The sequence below is a fragment of the Homo sapiens genome, chromosome 11 (genome assembly GCF_000001405.40).
Source record: "Homo sapiens chromosome 11, GRCh38.p14 Primary Assembly".
NCBI lineage: Eukaryota > Metazoa > Chordata > Mammalia > Primates > Hominidae > Homo > Homo sapiens.
In genome coordinates, this window is record NC_000011.10 from 12485044 (window position 1) to 12503659 (window position 18616).

Sequence of the window (18616 nt, forward strand, 5' to 3'; positions counted from 1 at the left end):
GCTCAAATGATTCACCCACCTTGGCCTCCCAAAGTGGTGGGATTAAAGGCGTGAGCCACCTCACCCAGCCAGAGGGGGCATTTTGAATGGGGCCTTACAGAAAAAGATTCTCAACCATATGAGGAAGGAGAAAGGGCACTTTAGCCAAGACAACAAAAGAGTTTCCAGGAAGCCTCTGTTAATTTTGGTGCTAATGGAGGGAAAATGCTGTAGAGTCCAGGAGCCAGTGGGTAGATGACCATCAGGGTTGGGTGACTGGGATATGAGGCTAACAAAGAAAATGAGACCCAGCTCCCAGGTCGTGGTTTTTAGCACCATTTCCAACAGGAGAAACCAGGACTTCTTGGAGAAATGGCTAATTTTAGACCTGGGGCAGGGAATGTAGATGAGCCTAGAGCATCTTGCAGTACCAAAAAGAAGTGCTAAGAAAAAATATATATACAGGGCCACACATTGAAAATGTCCAAAACCAACCTGAGGGAGCTCCCAGTGGCCAAAGCTGGAATTATTTGGGGGAAAAATTAATAATAGCAGTATTGGATTATAACCCAAAGTCTAAATACCCTTAAATTGATACTGATATAAATAACTGAACAAATAAGCAAATGGGAACAAAAAGACAACTCTGCCTTATAGAATTTCAAATACTTTGTGTAGATATAACCCCTTCAAAAAAGGTGGCAATTAATTCCACAATCCTTGAGTGGCTGAATTTAGTGACAGGCTTCCCATGGTTAGAGTGTGGAAGTGGGGACAGGGTAGGGGGAGGGTGTAATGAAAGGGTACTTCACTTCTGTGGTCTTCCTCCCCAGCCTACCCATGAGAAAAATATAGGAAAAATCAAGCAGTCCTGACCATCACTTCTCAAAACTGTCAAGGTCATGGTAAAAACAATGCAAGTGTGAAAAACCATCACAGAACAGAGGACGCTAAGGAGACATGAAGAAAAGAAGTGGTATCCTAGACCGTTTCCTGAAACAGAAAAAGGGCATTAGAAAAAACCTAGTGAATCCAGATAAGATATAGAGTTAACAGTCATGTACTAATGCCATACATAAATAGCTGTGACATATGTACGATAGTAATGTGAGCTGTTAACAATAGGAGGGGAAACTGAGTTCGGAGTGCATAGGAATTGTCTGTACTGTTTGTAACTTTTCTATAAATCTAAAAACCATTCTAAAATGAAAAGTCTATTTAAAATAAAGGGCTGGGCGCCGTGGCTCACACCTGTAATCTCAGCACTTTGGGAGGCCGAGGTGGGTGGATCACCTGAGGTCGGGAGTTCGAGACCAGCCTGACCAACATGGAGAAACTTTGTTTCTACTAAAAATACAAAATTAGCCAGGCATGGTGGCACATACCTGTAATCCCAGCTACTTGGGAGGCTGAGGCAGGAGAATCGCTTGAACTCGGCAGGCGGAGGTTGCAGTGAGCCGAGATCACATCACTGTACTCCAGCGTGCACAACAAGAGCGAAACTCTGTCTCAAAAATAAAAATAAAAATAAAATAAAATAAAGCTGGGTGCGGTGGCTCATGCCTGTAATCCCAGCACTTTAGGAGGCCGAGGCAGGCAGATCACTTGAGGCCAGGAATTCAAGACCAGCCTGACCAACATGATAAAACCTCATTTCTACTAAAAATACAAAAATTAGTGGGGCATGGTGGTGGGCGCCTGTAATCCCAGCTTCTCAGGAGACTGAGGCAGGAGGATCACTTGAGCCCAGGAGGCAGAGGTTGCAGTGAGCTGAGATCGTACCACTGCACTCCAGCCTGGAAGACAAAGTGAGACTCTGTCTCAAAACAATAAATAAAATAAAGGAAGAAGATGAAGCTCACATTAGAGGACCATGAACTAAGAGTTTTAGACTGTATTGTTTTGGTAGCGGCAACTAGTGGTGCCTTATGAGCAAAACAACACAGTCAGAAATGGGGCTTTAGGAAATAACATAGGAGCAGTATGGGAGATGCTCAGAGAGAGTGGAAGGAACTCCAGCAGAGCATCTCCTCATGAGAAAAGGATAGTGTCAAATAGAGGAGTGTCAGTTTGGATGGGGAAAAGCTTGAAGAGGACCTAGAGATGTAGGGAGAGTAGCTAGAGTAAACCAGGCTGATTCTATGTGGTGGATGTTGAACAGGTATGACTCCATGAACCCCAGGAGGAGATGCATCTTGAAGAGTTTGATCTTGTTTACTTTGAGAGTCACTTTTCTATGCCCTAAAATGCTGGGCTGAAGTGGCAGCTATGCTAAAATTGAAGCAGGAATGAAGAAACAGGAGATCTCAGTTCCAATCTTGGTTTCACCACTAAAACATACCTCTGTTACTCCGATCACTCTCCTGTAAAGTCAGGAAGGTGGCTTTAAAAACCTCTATGGCTGAGCTATTCAATTCAGCAACCAATAGCCATATGCAGCTGTTAAAAGCAATTAAAATGGAACATTCATTTTCTCAGTTACACCAGCTAGATATCAAGTGCTCAATAGCCAAATGTAGCTAGTAGCTACCACGTTGGACAATTAAAAAAATGAACATTGCCATCATACCAGATAGTTCTGCTGAATAGCCCTGCTTGAAGATCCTCCTCCTATAATCTGATTTTAGGATTGTTGATATATGCTGCTATTCTTAAACTGAAAGAGTTATTTTCTCATCTCAAACTCAAAAGTTAGATGAAAGTTTTTTATTATTATTCTTTATAAATAATAGAGAAGCTCTCTAAAATGTCTTACTACATAGAAAAAGGCATGGTAGAGAACGACTGTGTGTGTGTGTGTCAAGGGACACATACAATGTTTGTATGCATAGAATATTTCTCGTAATAGTCATAATAAACTGTCTCTATGAATGGGACTAGGGAACTTGGGACTGCCATGGAAAGGAGACAGTTTTCACAGCTTGAATTTTCTCTGTTTGTATATTATCAGTCTTATTGAAATTGGTTGAGTGCATATGTAAATTTCAGGAGCAAAACTGAATTAACCCATCAGTAGATATCAAATAACATTTGATACATATTTGAACAGTCATTTCAAGTAAAATAGAAAGAGGAAACTACTTAAATATGATAAAGACCACTAAATAAAACCTAACTGAACATATTAAATAGTGAAATATCAGAGATGTGGTATTAGGGACAAATGAGAAATAATGGCTGTTACAACTATTATAAGTGTTTCAGAGGTCCTAATTAATATGATAAGAAAATAGATTTTCATTTTTAGCATTATGGCTGATGACTAGATGTTCAGATAAATCTTATTGGTACCTCATGCTTTAAAAATCTGGATAAGCCTTCAAGAACATATTTTTGTATGGGATGGCTAAACTGGTGTGAAAAGGAAGGAAATTCTTCTGATTCCAAGAACAAGAAGGAAGTATAAATCTAGTGGGATAAGTGCTAATTCCTAATAACCTATCATTCCTAATGGCCTATAGCCTGAAGTTTAAAGGGTCACACATACAGGGTCAGGAGACAAATCTTGGGTAGAGTCTGAGCAAGAAAGAGGGTTGGATTCGAGCCCCCTGAATAGAGCCATGGTCTTGAAAGGGCAACTCTTTCAATGAGTACAAAATTTGTCCCACAGAAAGAGGCAATAAGGATAAATTATCTTAGCCTTGGATGTGAACAGAACAATTAAAAAGAAGTCTGCTTCAGATAACTCCTCATCAAAAGTCTATACTCACACAGATTTAAGGCTAGGATTCACAGTACTTATGTGACTTTAAAAAATCTAAATTGAAATTTTAGTTACAAGTTGTCCCAGGTCACTAGTGCCCCAAGACAGAAGCAAACATATGTCCTTCTTTTAAAGAGGAAGGAACTCTAAACTCAGACCACAAAGAACTCCCAGAGTTAAAATTCCAAGGAATATGACCTCAAAATTAGAAATCACCAAAGACATGAGCGTAAGCCACCATGAGCACTGTCAACAGAAACAATAATCTGTAGATTCATCCCACAAATACTATAAATATTAGAAACTGTTGAGCTATAGACTGGGTATGGTGGCTCATACCTGTAGCCCCAGCACTTTGGGAAGCCAAGGTGGGAGGATTGCTTGAGCCCAGGAGTTCGAGACTAGCATGGGCAATATGGTGAGACCCCACCTCTATTTAAAAAAAAAAAAGAAAAAGAAAAAAAGTGTTCAGTTATAGAATATAAAATGAGTATGTTTAATATGTCAAAATAAATGTTTTTAAAGACTTAAAAATGATAAAAGAACAAGAAACTATTAAGACTGGAAGGTAGATATGAAAAACAACCAAATAGAACTTCTAGAAATGAAAAAGTGTGAATAATAATGAAACTAGAAACCTCAATGGATTAGACACAGCTAAAGAAGGAATTAATGAACCAGAAGACAGCACTAGAGAAATTACCCAGAATCCAGTATAGAAAGACAACAGAATAGAAAACGAGAAAGAGAATTTGAAAACATAGAGGTTAGTCTAAGTAGATGCAACATACATAGCTAACTGGAATTCTAGAAGAAAAGAAAATGGAGTATAGTAAATATTTAAAGAAAACATAATGAATGAGAATTTTCTAGAATTGATGAAAGACATGAATCCTCAGATTCAGGGAGCTCAGTGAATCCCAAATAGTATAAGTAGTGACAAATCTACACCTACACATTTTACAGTGAAACCTAAGAACACTGAAGACAAATGATTAAAAGCATAGAGGAAAAAATCAATTATTTATAAAGGAACAACAGACTGAAAGCTGTCTTTCACAAGGAACAAAAAAAGCCAAAAGATATTAATACTGAAGATATCAAAATACTTTGATGTCTTTAAAGTGCTGACAAAAATGATCAACTTATAAGTTCATACACAGCCAAAAAAACTGTTAGGAGAGGCGGCTTTAAAAAGTTAGGAGAGGCAGCCAGGTGCAGTGGCTCACGCCTATAATCCCAGCATTTTGGGAGGCCAAGGCAGATGGATCACAAGGTCAGGAGATCGAGACCATCCTGGCTAACATGGTGAAACCCCGTCTCTATGAAAAATACAAAAAATTAGCCGGGTGTGGTGGTGGGCACCTGTAGTCCCAGCTACTCGGGAGGCTGAGGCAGGAGAATGGCGTGAACCAGGGAAGCAGAGCTTGCCGTGAGCCGAGATCGTGCCACTGCACTCCAGCCTGGGTGACAGAGTGAGACTCAGTCTCAAAAAAAAAAAAAAAAAGTTAGGAGAGGCGGGGCTCAGTGACTCACGCCTGTAATCCCAGCACTTTGGGAGGCTGAGGCGAATGGATCACCTGAGCTCAGGAGTTCAAGACTAGCCTGATCAACATGGTGAAACCCCATTTCTACTAAAAATACAAAAATTAGCCAGGCAATAGTGGCGCACACCTGTAATCTCAGCTACTTGGGAGGCTGAGGCAGGAGAATCACTTGAGGTGGAGGTTGCAGTGAGCAGAGATCGAGCCACTGCACTCCAGCCTGGGTGATAGAGTAAGACTATGTCTCAAAAAAAAAAAAAGAGAGAGAGAGAAAATAAAGGCATTTTCAATAAACACAAACTGAGAGGGTTTATTACCAATAGACCCCCGCAAAGGAATTTCTCAAGAATGTAAAATAGGAAGGAAAATGAACCCCCCAAAAATACCTAAAATGCAATAGTGAACAAAGATTATCATGGTGGGTAGATCAAAGCCATAATTAAATGAATATAAAATAATCACAATAATGTCTAATTTGTTAATTAAAACAAGATAGAATCAGAATCCCATACAACCGTAGCACATAAATCAGGAATTATGTAATTGGAGTCAACGCGTGCTGAGGTCTTTGTATTGTTTAGTATATGGGTAAAGATACCAATTAGCTTAAGACTTTATTAAGTTAAATATGAATGATAAATTTTCTATCATAAATACTGAAATAATAGAAACAGAGTATATAACCTCCCTACTAATCATGGGGAGAAAATGGAATGAGAAAGAATGAAAACATTAATCCAAAAAAAAACAAGGCTGGAAGTGGGAGAAGAATCGGAAAACCCACTAAATAGAAAGTTCAGAATAAGTTGGTAGAAGTGAATCCAAGTATACTGGTAAACTCAATATCAGACCAAATAACAAAACAAATTCTTGCCAAATACTATATACAAGAGATAGTTTTGTTTTGTTTTGAGACAGGGTCTTGCTCTGTTACCCAGGCTGGAGTACAGTGGCACAATCACAGCCGACTGTAGCCTCTACCTCCCAGGCTCAAAAGAAATCCTCCCATTTCAGCCCCCCAGGTAGTTAGGACTACAGGTGTGTGCCACCATGCCCAGCTAAGTATCTTCTTATTTTTTGTACAGACAGGGTCTCGCTATGTTGCCCAGGCTGGTCTCCAACTCCTGGCCTCAAGCAGTCCTCCTGCCTCAGCTTCCCAAAGTGCTGGGATTACAGGCATAAAGCCACCACGCCCAGCTGAGATAGTTTTAATAAATGAGGGACACGCGAAGGTTGAAAGAAAAAGGGTGGAAATAATTATGTATACAGGACTAATTTTTTTAAAGCTGGGGTAACTATTTTACATCATACAAAATAGACTTTAAGGCAAAAGGCATTACTACAGAGAGTCACTACATATTAATAAGAAATTAAAGTCACTAGGAAAATATAGAAATTTTAAACTTATATGTACTTTTGTATATCAAATATTTAAAAATTTAAAATGATAATCATTACTTCAAGAATTTGACAAACCTATCACAGTGCTAGTTTTTAACATACTTCTCTTAATAACATATTAAGAAAAAAGTTCATAGAGAATATTTGAATAATACAGTTAATCAGCTCTAACTAATCTGTATATAGCATATGATACCCTGCAAACTGTATTCTTTTCAACTGCTCATGGAACACTTAACGAAATTTGACTATGCCCATAAAGCAAATCTCAACAAATTAGCATACAGACCAAATTCTCTGACTACAATGCAAGTTTCTCTCCTAATATACTTGGAGACAAAAGTATTTTTTAAACAACTCAGGAACTGTTCATACTGGAAAGAGTATTTTACATATTTTAGTTCTTGAAGGGTGGTTACGTTAATATAGTGTGGTATATATGACAATTGTGTTTGTTAGAACATCTCAGTTCTCCCACCATTCAGGGTAATTGAGTTTATTCTGCCTTGTCTTTATGCGTCAGAACTTTTGACTACTGTTTCATTGTTTTCTATATATAATCTCTCCAAAAGCAAATTTGGGTAATACCTTCAAAAACAACTCAAAGATTCACAAAATAATCCACCTGAGAAAATTTTCTAAATCACATCCTATCAATTTCAAAATCATGCCTAATACTTATGAAGAGTTAAACTAGTTATGAACAATTTGTGTAACTATGGAAACATGAGAGAAACAGTTTCCTGGAAGAATAAAACTTCAGCAATAGAAAACTTTATGGAGCTAGCTGAAATTAGCCCACAAAAGAACATTATCTTTAAATCCTTAGTAATGTTGAGTAAATTACTATTAAGCTATAGAAATATTATTTGAGGGGGCCTCTTATATTTTAAGGGTTGAATACCTTAAAGATAAAGGAGGTGGTAGGAATAGCAGAAGAAGTTCGCAAATTAATCTTTTATTTAAAATGTTAGAAAATTAAAATATGTCACATAAGCCTGCAAAATAGAGATAATGATGTTTTATTTGTATACCCAGAGAATGCTGAAGACTCAAACCGCAATAGGACTAATAAAGGGATTTGGTAAGATGACAACATACAAGGAAAAAATCTGTAAGGCAATAGCTTTCATGTTTACCAGCAGTAATCAATTAGTAATACATACACACACACACACACAAGATGTTTATTGCAACTTTATTACAAATACAGAAAATGTGGGTTATAACCTGGCTGTATGTCAAGTTATAAGTCATATAATGCAATATGCAGTTTTGAAAAATAATGAGTTATATTCATATATTGACCTGAAAAGACTTATGATATATATATGAGTGGAAAAAAGCCAATAGCAAAAATATATATATACTATAATCTCATTTTCATTAAAAGAGAAAGAGAAGGCTGAGTGTGGTGGCTCATGCCTGTAATCCCAGCACTTTAGGAGGCTGAGGTGGGTGGATCTCTTGAGTCCAGGAGTTCGAGACTAGCCTGACCAACATAATGAAACCCCATCTCTACTAAAAATACAAAAATTAGCTGGGCGTGGTGGTGCATGCCTGTAATCCCAGCTACTTAGGAGGCTGAGACAGGAGAATCACTTGAACCCGGGAGGCAGAGGTTGCAGTAAGCTGAGATTGTGCCACTGCACTCCAGCTTGGGCAACATAATGAGACTCCATCTCAAAAAAAAAAAAAAAGAGAGAATATTAACACACACACAATAAGGATTACTTCGATATATTTTTATGCAAATCCATTTAATACCAATATCAATGCCTAAACTAAAATATCGAACAGCAAAAATTAAAAGCAAGAATATAAACCCAAAGCATAATGACTAAAATGGAAAGAAGTAAAGCAGAATTACATTTTATAAAACATTTGCAACACAAAACAAAGCCACAAAAATGCTTCTCCTAAATAAGAAATACCAGACGCTAAAAAAAAAAAGGAAAAAAATTAATTTTAGGAAGAATGCACTACAATTTTAGTACCATAGACTAGTTAAATATATTAGTGGAAACAGAAAAACAATGGATGCTTCAGTAAGTAAGGTGTGAAATCCAATAATGGAAAACACATTTCTCTATACTCCTAACACTTCTGACACCAAATATGTGGGTTTTCCACACTAAGCAATTTTCCAGTTCTCTATGGACAGCAACAGGGTGTCCTACAATTTAATTTTGATACTACTGTCCCAAACTTAGCACAGCCCTCACAGGTTAAGGGCTCAGTGCCACAAGAGTGTCCCCACTTCAGTTGGCATTCGCCAAGTTCAGACCTCTGGTACTTCTGACCGACTAGCTATAATAGATCAGGGGTTTCCAAAACCCTTTCCTCAGATATGATCATTTGCTAGAATGGCACACAGAACTCAGGAAGGCACTTAGGTTTACTAGTCTATTATAAAGGATAAAACTCAAAATCAGCCAAAAGGAAGAGATGCATAGGGCATGGTTTGTGGGAGAGGCACAGAGCTTCCATGCTTTCTCATGTGCATGACCCTCCAGCACCTTTATATATTTACCAACCAGGAAGCTCTCTGAACATTTTCGGCCAGAGTTTTTATGAAGTGTCATTAAGTAGGCATAACTGATTAAATCACTGGCCATTGATAGTTGACCTCCAGCTTCCTTCCCCTTTCTCATGGGTCGGGGGTATGAGGCTGAATGTTCCAATCCTTTAATCATATGCTTGGTTCTCCTGGCAATCAGCTTCCCCATCCTCAGAGCTTTCTAAAAGTTGCCTCATTAACATAAACTCAGATGTAGGTGAAAGGGGCTTGTTATGAATAACAAAAGATGTTCCTTTTACCTTAATCATTTCAGAGCTTTTTCAGGAACTGGGGACAAAACCCAAATATTATAACCATAGATGCCACTATCATCTTTCAGAAAGTTACAAGGTTTTTAGAAGCTCTGTGCTAGGAAGGGAGATCAAGGAGGCAAGATGTATATTTCTTCTTATGTCACACCATTTAAAAAAAAAAAGAATGAACTAGACAACTGTGCAAGAAAAAGTTATTGACCTAGAAAACAGACTCAGAGACCTAAGCTGAAAATCTGTTCAATGCCAGATTTTAAATATGAAAATGTATAGACAATGATGCAACACAGCAGAGCTAGCAAATAAGTGGCTCCTCCTCACTCCTCTCCTCCCCACCCAACCCTCTCTCACAACAGTCATCAGTAATCTTTGCCTGCAATCTTTGCCTCTGAGCCAAGATAAGACCAGAAGGTTCTTAACCTAGCATTTTGGGCAGCCTCTATCCAATGCTTGTAGTTGCAAAGTAAGATTAAAATAACTTGCTTCTATAGAGACAATTACATCATCTGAAAATAATGGGAAAAAGTGAAAGAAAATAACTTGTCATTTTTTCAGTAGGAGAGGATCCAAGATAAGAATTCAGCCTAAAAATGGATAAGGCACACACAAGGTCTCTTCAAGATGTAAGAAGAAGACATTTAGATTTATTCTTGTTAAATCCCTGAACTTTAGAGATAAAAATGGCTTAAACAACTAAAGAGAACATTTCAGGCCATCACAGGTAAGAATAGCTTGAGATTGTCCTACTGAGGTGCTTAAAAAAATTCGCAAATCCACAGAACCTGCATAAATTCTCCATTGGGCAACTTTATCTTCAAAGAATGACTCAAGGGGCATTTGGCTTAGATAAACCACAGTTACTTAAAAATAAATTATGTAAGCATTAGGGAAAATATTGATACATAGTAAAATTTAACTTGTATAGCAGCCCTTAAAAATTAGGAGAAAAGATATTTTAAATGTGTGCAGTTCTGTCAATCTTAAATTAATTAGAAGTGATTGGGTGAGTTCCAGTGGTAGGCAACCAATTTCCTGTTAAGGAGTCCAAAGTTGTTTTTTTCTTTGTAATAGATTAAAATATGAATTTAGATTAACAAAATGATTAGACTGAGTTTTTCCTTTTTTTTAAGTATTAAGGTGTTATGTCATTGCATAAAAAAAAACTATTGATTTTAAAACACACCATTATATAAAAACCACTCAGAAAGAGAAAAATCACTTTAAGCTATTACTCAATGCTTTCTTGTTGCTGAGAATTTTTATTTTATACTTTTTGAAGGTGCTCATGTAGGCTTATTGAGACATGTAAGTAATCATACTGTGAAGAGCTACAAGCAAGTTCATGCCCGTGGAGACAATGATAACTCTTAGACCTTCCACCTAGCTGGCAGCCATTGTAGGATGCCAGTAAAACACAACCTGACTTTAAGGATGTTAAAATGTGAAAAATATGTGCCTTAGAATTGATTAAATATGACACATTAAGTAAGTTACCTTCCAGGTGGGTTTAAAAGGAAAGAAGGTACTTAAAACAGATAAGTATGATTGGACCTGACCAGACTGTACTACAGGAATGTACAAAATGCCTTGACTAACTCTACAGAGAAGGCTTTCCAGTCGGAGCACAGAGATGTCCTTGGAGAAGATAGAATTGAAAAGAAGGAGAAAACTCCAGAATGATAGAGTTCAAATATGACAGGCTAGGTTAAATGCCCCTGGGATCTGGGGATTCAAGTCATGATCATGAGGCTCTCACAGTACTGATGCTGCTGGTGCCACCATAAGGTGATGAGGGGACAGCAGTGTCCCTCTGCTGGTAGGCATCCAGTATCTATTGTTGCAAGAGTGCATGCATGCATGAGTGCATGAGAGACCGAATAACTGAGTAAGTGCATGCAGTAGGGTTGTCTGGGGCCCAGCATAACAGCTGTTCTCTTTTCCCTTGTCACCCTCAGAGAAACTGGAGAGTGAGAAGCTAAATGTGGCTGAGGTCACCCAGTCAGAGATTGCTCAGAAGCAAAAACTGCAGACTGTCCTGGAGAAGATCAATGAAACCCTGAAACTTCCTCCCAGGAGCATCAAGTGGAATGTGGATTGTGAGTTGAACAAAGGAAAGGGGCACCATTAAACAATGCCTGTGGTCCCTGCCATGGGGCTTCCCCAAGAAGCCATCCATAAGCTTGGCAGGCTTCAGGGGAGGGGGTCAAACTCATTTATCTTTGAACAAGTTGCCCCGCTTCCTCAGAACTTGGAAGAAGTTCCATCCATACCCTTGGGGAAAAATAACAGAATGTCAAAATCTCACGTTCCTCTTCTGTAAAAGGCTTTGCATAGAAACCTCACGTGAAATGGGGAAGGGAAGGAAACTCATTCACTGAGCTACTTCTTCTAAGTCCCAGCACAGCCTTTTGAGAAAGCTGTTGTCTGCAGCTTGGAGAGGCTTGGGAAGCTGAGGTCCCCACATTCACACAGCTGAGAAGCAGGGAGCAAGGATTCAGTTCTGTCTATTCCAAAGCCCGCGCCCTTCCAATCCCCCTTCATTTTCTAGAAAGAGCAAAGATATGGCTGAGATCATAGGCACTGAAACAAGATGTTAAAATTCAGCTTTTTACAGGTAGCATAGCTCAGAGACCTCAGAAAGCATAAATTATTAGTTTATAATAATTATTAGTTTATAAATTATTAGTTCATTTACTGCTCCAAAGGCCCGGTGTCTAATACAGACTTAATGAGTCCCTATCAGAATTAATCAAGGGATTAGGTGAATCTAGCAGTAGCAACTGGATTCCAAAGTTTATTGTAATAGATAAAAATATGAATTTAGATTAATAAAAGATTAGATTAGACTGTGTTTTGCCTTTAACTATTAAGGGGTTAAGTACTATGCTTTATTGCGTCTAACTTACACAACTTAAAATCAACAGCCCCCTACAAAAAAAAATACTTTTCAAACTTGGGAAAGCAAATGGAGTCTTCACCTCTAAAGTTAGAAACCCAGTAACTGCCAGTCACAATCCCTCCAGCAGGTCTCTAACATCTGACGTTGGGGCTGAGACACCAAGTGCCTCCTCGGCATAATTACACGTTTTTGTGCACAGCATGATCAGCTGCTTTGCACAGCAGTGACGCTGGGAACAGGGCACAGGGCGTTCTTTGCCCGCAGAGGGAGACACCTGAGGGCAGGAGGAGGGGAGGCCGTGCCCTGGGCCCTAGATGCTATCAAGGAGAGGGGCTCTGTTTCACTGTGTTCCAGGAATGCTAGTATTGTCAATGGGGGAGAACAAGGCAGGGCAGGGAGGTTGATGACTAGTTTGGGAAATGTATCTGCATTTTAAAAATCCACAATAGTCATAAACATTAGAGAAGTCCTCTAATGAAGACTGCTGTTTAGTTTGGTTTGATCCTATCTCCCGCTCCTTTGAATAGGGACCACCTCCCTGTACCCCTCCAAAAAAAACAAGTCAAACATATTTAACTTATCATGGCACCCAATTTGGGAAAGTCTGAGATAGAAGAACAGAGTCTTTTATTACTATTATTATTTTTTTGTAGAGACAGAGTCTCACCCTTGCCCAGGCTGGAGGGCAGTGGTGCAATCTCAGCTCACTGCAACCTACGCCTCCCAGGTTCAAGCGATTCTCATGCCTCAGCCTCCCGAGTAGCTGGGATTACAGGCGTGTGCCACCAAGCCCAGCTAATTTCTTTTGTATTTTACTAGAGACAGGGTTTCACCATGTTGCCCAGGCTGGTCTCGAACTCCTGAGCTCAGGCAGTCCACCCGCCTCGGCCTCCCAAAGTGCTAGAATTACAGGCACAAGCCACTGTGCCCAGCCTAGAACAGGGTCTTTTAAAGCCACATCAAGAACATTGTCTCCAGTGGCTTTGAATGATTTGTTTGGTTTATGCTTACTTTAATTTCTTACGGGGAAATGTGTGCAAGAAAAATCATCACTCGTATTACCATGCTAATCTAGCTTTTCATTTGTTTGTTTTCATTTGTTTCATTTCACTGTTTCATTTGTTACTAGTTACATCACTGCATCATTTTGCTTGGTCAGGTCATATACACTTTTTTTTTTTTTTTTTTTTTGAGATGGAGTCTCGCTCTGTTGCCCAGGCTGAAGTGAAGTGGCACAATCTTGGCTCACTGCAACCTTCGCCTCCTGGGTTCAAGCAGTTCTCCTGCCTCAGCCTCCTGAGTAGCTGGGATTACAGGGATGCCCCACCACGCCCACCTAACTTTCGTATTTTTAGTAGAGACAGGAATTCGCCATGGCCAGGCTGGTCTCAAAGTCCTGACTTCAGGTGATCCACCCGCCTTGGCCTCCCAAAGTGCCAGGATTACAGGCGTGAGCCACTGCACCTGGCCCAAGTCATATACATTTTTGTGTTTTGTTATTTTTCGCTTGATCTTACATCACACGTATTTTCTACATTCCCTCGTGGTCTTTGTAGTTAAAATTTTTGATAGCTGTTTCTATTTCATAGGGTAGATATCCCACTGTTAACTTAAACCCTAGGTTGATGCCTATCCTTTTAGGATGTTTCCCAACCTATTTCTAATATCAGATAGCACCAAACTGAATGTCTTAGCTTGTGCCTCTTTTTGCTTGAATTACTCCCTTTAGATAAATTTCCAGAACTGAGATGGATTACTAGGTCAGAGGGAATAATTATCTCATCTTGGTGGCTAGCTCCCTGTGATGCCTTGGGGCTTTTGAAGAGCTGGGCTTATTTACAAAGTCATAGTGGCTTGTTCCATAAGGAATGTGGCAGGCTCAGCTCCTGGGGGAAAAGCTCTGTCTCCTCTCTCAGTTACCTTCCGTGGATGTAAACCTGAGGACACTGTGGCGCCTCTCCGCTCAGGATGAGGGTGGTAGGGACAGGCTGCTGAGTTACCAAGGTCCTTGATCTGGGGCTTTAGGGATTTCTTCCTTTTTTTTTTTTTCTAATTCACAACAGTAATTTTCATTATTGAAAATTTACAAAGTGCAGATAAATTTAAATATTAACGTTTAACACATGTATTATGCTTATTGTATGTCTTGTATTCTTCTAAACACTTTATGTATTTTAATCTTTGTAATCTTCACTCACCCATCTGAAGTAAGAATTCTTTTATTCCCATGTTACAGATGGGAAAGTCAGGGCATAGAGAGGTTAAGAAACTATGAAGGTAAACTTCATGAGGGCAGGGACTTTTGTCTTTTCACTGCCCACCTAGAGACAAGAACCGTGAACATTGTGCTGTGTTCTTCAAGTTCTGTGTGTGTCTGTACGTGTGTAATAAGTAGTGTATAATATTTTATATATGTATATATAAAAAACTTTTAGCAAAAATGAGATCAACCTGTTTATGTTGTTTGGAAGATGTATATATTGACAAATCATTAAATATTCTTCTGTATGTCACTTTTAATACTATATAATGTGACATTGTATGGATCTACCATAATTTACTTAACTGATAATGGATTTTCAGATTGTTCTCCGTTTTCCCACTGATATCAATACAGCTGGATGCATTCTCCCTGCTTGTAGCCATAATGACTTCTTTAGGATAAATACCTAAGAGTGGTATGTTAGGGCCAAAGGGTGAGAGCATTTTTAAGGTCATAGTACATAATGTTAAATTACCTCCAGAAAAATTACACCAATTTCTGTTTCCACCACAGGACGTGTTTGGAAGACTATTTCTAACTCAGCAGCCCTGTTTTAAATACTGCTTTCCAGCCCTAGAGTGACACTCTTAGCCTTGCAGCTGCGGTTCCCGGCTTGCACAGTGAGGCCTGGGCGCTTACTCTTATCCCATATGTTCCCTCCTGACTTGACTGCGGGCACATGTTGGCCTCAGCTTCTGTTGAGCACAGGGAGAAAATTCCCAGGAGACGTGTTGAGAGGCAGCAATGATGAGGGTGCACAAATGTTCAACAGTGGGTAGAATCTGTTTTAATTGGAAAAATGGCATATTTTTGTTCTAAAGAATATTTGAAAATAGGCAAAAAGGCTGGGCGCTGTGGCTCACACCTGTAATCCCAGCACTTTGGAAGGCCAAGGTGGGTGGATCACCTGAGGTCAGGACTTTGAGACCAGCCTGGCCAACATGGCAAAACCCCGTCTCTACTAAAAAATACAAAAATTAGCCCAGCGTGGTGGCAGGTGCCTGTAATCCCAGCTACTCGGGAGGCTGAGGCAGGAGATTCGCTTGAACCCAGGAGGCGGAGCTTGCAGTGAGCCAAGATTGCACCAATGCACTCCAGCCTGGGTGACAGAGTGAGACTCCATCTCAGAAAAAAGAAAAAAAGGGGGAAAAAAAACCTATCTGGCGGGGCACGGTGGCCCACACCTGTAATCCCAGCACTTTGGGAGGCCAAGGTGGGTGGATCACCTGAGGTCAGGAGTTTGATACCAGCCTGGCCAACATGGTGAAACTCCCTCTTTACTAAAAGCACAAAAATTGCCAGGTATGGTGGCATGCACCTATAATCCCAGCTACTTGGGAGGCTGAGTCAGGAGAATCACTTGAACCCAGGAGGAGGTGTTTGCAGTGAGACGAGATCTAGTCATTGCACTCCAACCTGGGCGACGAGCAAAAATCCATCTCAAAAAAAAAAAAACAATCTTTCCACTCTAGCATAACTATTTTCATTTGTTTTAATATATTCCTTTCCAAATGTTGGCCACAAGCACATGTTTGTGTGTGTATATGTAGATATACATACATATGTATATGCTTTTATGTATGCATATATCCATAAATGTATATTTATAGCTATGTATATTACACACATATACACATGTGTATATAGATATATACACATATACACATATATATAGCTATACTATCTTAACTATGATTTTCAATGCATGCAAACTATTCATTATGTGTATATACCATAACTTCTTAAAGCAGTGGTTATTCAACTATGGTTGGTCCAAAACTAGGGATTTGCAAGGAGAAACTCTAGCATCACCAAGGAGAAGACAAGAAGTCATGGGTAGGCTGCAGTTAGGACTCCAGAATCCTCACTTTAAGCGGAGCAGTTGTACTTTTTTCATCAGTTTTAACTATCAACTTTTAGAACAAAGGATTTCTGTGCTTCATATTTAAAAGTTTGAAAAATGCTGATCTAAACCATCCTCTTGTTATTGGACATAGTGTTTTCCAGGGTTTTAAAACATCATAGTATATTACACAGTAACATCTTTGTACACGTAGCGTAGTATGTATGTGTGTGAGACTATAGACTATTTCTTTCTAAAAAAAATCCCAGGAGGATAGAGCATTCATTGAATGAGTCTGACATCTATATGATGCTTATGGTATAGCTCTGCATTGCTCACTAAGACAATGGAGATGGTGTACAATGTCACCAGGGTATAAGAACAACTTACTTGATCACAACTTTTCTAGCATTATATTTTGCCATTAAAGGGGAGAGGGGTAGCAAATGTTCTTACAACCCTCAGTGACGCCAGGTGGTGGGCCGGTAGTTCTGATGAGAAGAGCAAACCTGGATTTGCCTCTGATGGTGACCACACCATGTCAGTGGGTCACAGTGGGTCAGTGCCACATCAGGATCTTTTTTTGAGGCTGTAAGTCTGGGTAAAACTTAGTTAACAAGGCCCGAAAGCCCAAAATTGAAACCTTCTGGAAGGCTAGGAGTTCAGAGCAGTTCAGCTTCTGTTTGTGGTGATGGTGAGCTGCTGTTCATAATCAGTAGAAAACCTTCTTTGAAGTAGCAGTGATAACCAGAAACCCTAATGAGTTACAAAGGAATGTCTGAATCATTCTCTTTTCTTAGTGATTTCTCAAAGCTTCTGCTAAATCAGACTCACTGATCCCAGGGAAGACAGAATGACATCCTAATAATGGGCCTAGTGCATGCGAAGTACACAAAATAGGCATTTTTTTTTTGTTATTCCCTTAAATGCCCCCTGTAATGAAGAGCCGTGAAGCTGGTAGGACTGTGAAGGCAGGCAAAATATCTGATGAATCTTCCCTTTGATGAGAAAGAAAGGGAATAAAGCTGGCATGTTTTAGTTGCCTAGGTGCCAGGTAATTTCACATAAGGTATAATAAAAAAAAAAAATCAGCCATTCCTGGCCACCTGTTGTGTTCCAGGAGCATCAGAGAGAAAACTCCCAGGAGACATGTCGAGAGGCAGGAATGATAGGGGCACACAAATGTTCAACAGTGGCTAGAATTTGTTTTAATTGAAAAGATGGCAGATTTTTATTCTAAAGAATATTTTGAAATAGGAAAAAAATTAAGACTATCCACTCTAGTGTAACTATTTTCATTTTTTTTTTTTAATGAAGGCTTTTGGGGAATCTTTACAACCTGTACATCCACATAGGTTCTGTTACCTCCATTTGTAAAGATGAGCAAATTAAGGCTCAGAGGCCTTCGGTGGCCTACCCTACCCAAGGCCATGTAGCCAGTAAATAAGTGGTAGATTATAAAGTTAGAATTCAGGCTCCAGTCTGCCTGACCCTCTGTGCACCTCACTGAGTCTTTTTCTCCTCATCTAGTGAGAAAACTACAACCCAGTGTGACCCTGCCTTCTCTGGTGTAAATGGCTTGACTTTGAGCACATGACTCAGCAGCTTTGGCAGCCCCCTGGCTCAGTAACATCCCGTCCCAGCTGCTCCTTAAAGGGCATTGCCTACAGTGACCATAGTGACACTCAAGCCAAGTAACATAGCCCTTTGAATGTCTCTCTCATGGCTTCTTCCAGGGATCTTAAAGCCCTGAACCAAGGAAGAGACCTAGTGTTCCTGACTCAATGTTTATTTATTAAGGGCGTGCTTTATGTGCAGTCTTGAGACAAGGGTAGTAGTGATAATCCAGAGTTCATGGTTAAGTGGGAAGGGAGAGGGAGTGCAGAGCAGACATGCTTATGGTGATTGGAGTGGAGTGGGCAGGGACATGGGACCGGGAGAGAGCTGATCTGAGCTCAGAGCTCAGCAGTTGTCAGGATCCTCATGGGAACCTGGGATTAGAGAGGTGCCACATTGGAAATCTGGCAATAATATGACCCAAGAAGGAGCCCCATGGGACCTGGCAAAGAACTGAGGGGGCCAGGCATGGTGGCACATCCCTGTAGTCCCAGCTACTCCACAGAGGCCAAGGCGGGAGGATTGCTTGAGCCTA

The 18616-nt window shown here is 39.8% G+C and overlaps 1 protein-coding gene across 2 annotated transcripts in view; it reads left to right on the forward strand.

The window, feature by feature from the left end:
* PARVA (parvin alpha) overlaps positions 1 to 18616 on the forward strand; it is a 158921-nt gene that overhangs the window by 108608 nt on the left and 31697 nt on the right. For both annotated transcript variants that reach the window (XM_005253015.4, NM_018222.5), the window contains exon 5: positions 11415 to 11555. In XM_005253015.4, the coding sequence (XP_005253072.1) occupies positions 11415 to 11555 (141 nt within the window). The remainder of the gene's footprint in view (positions 1 to 11414; positions 11556 to 18616) is intronic.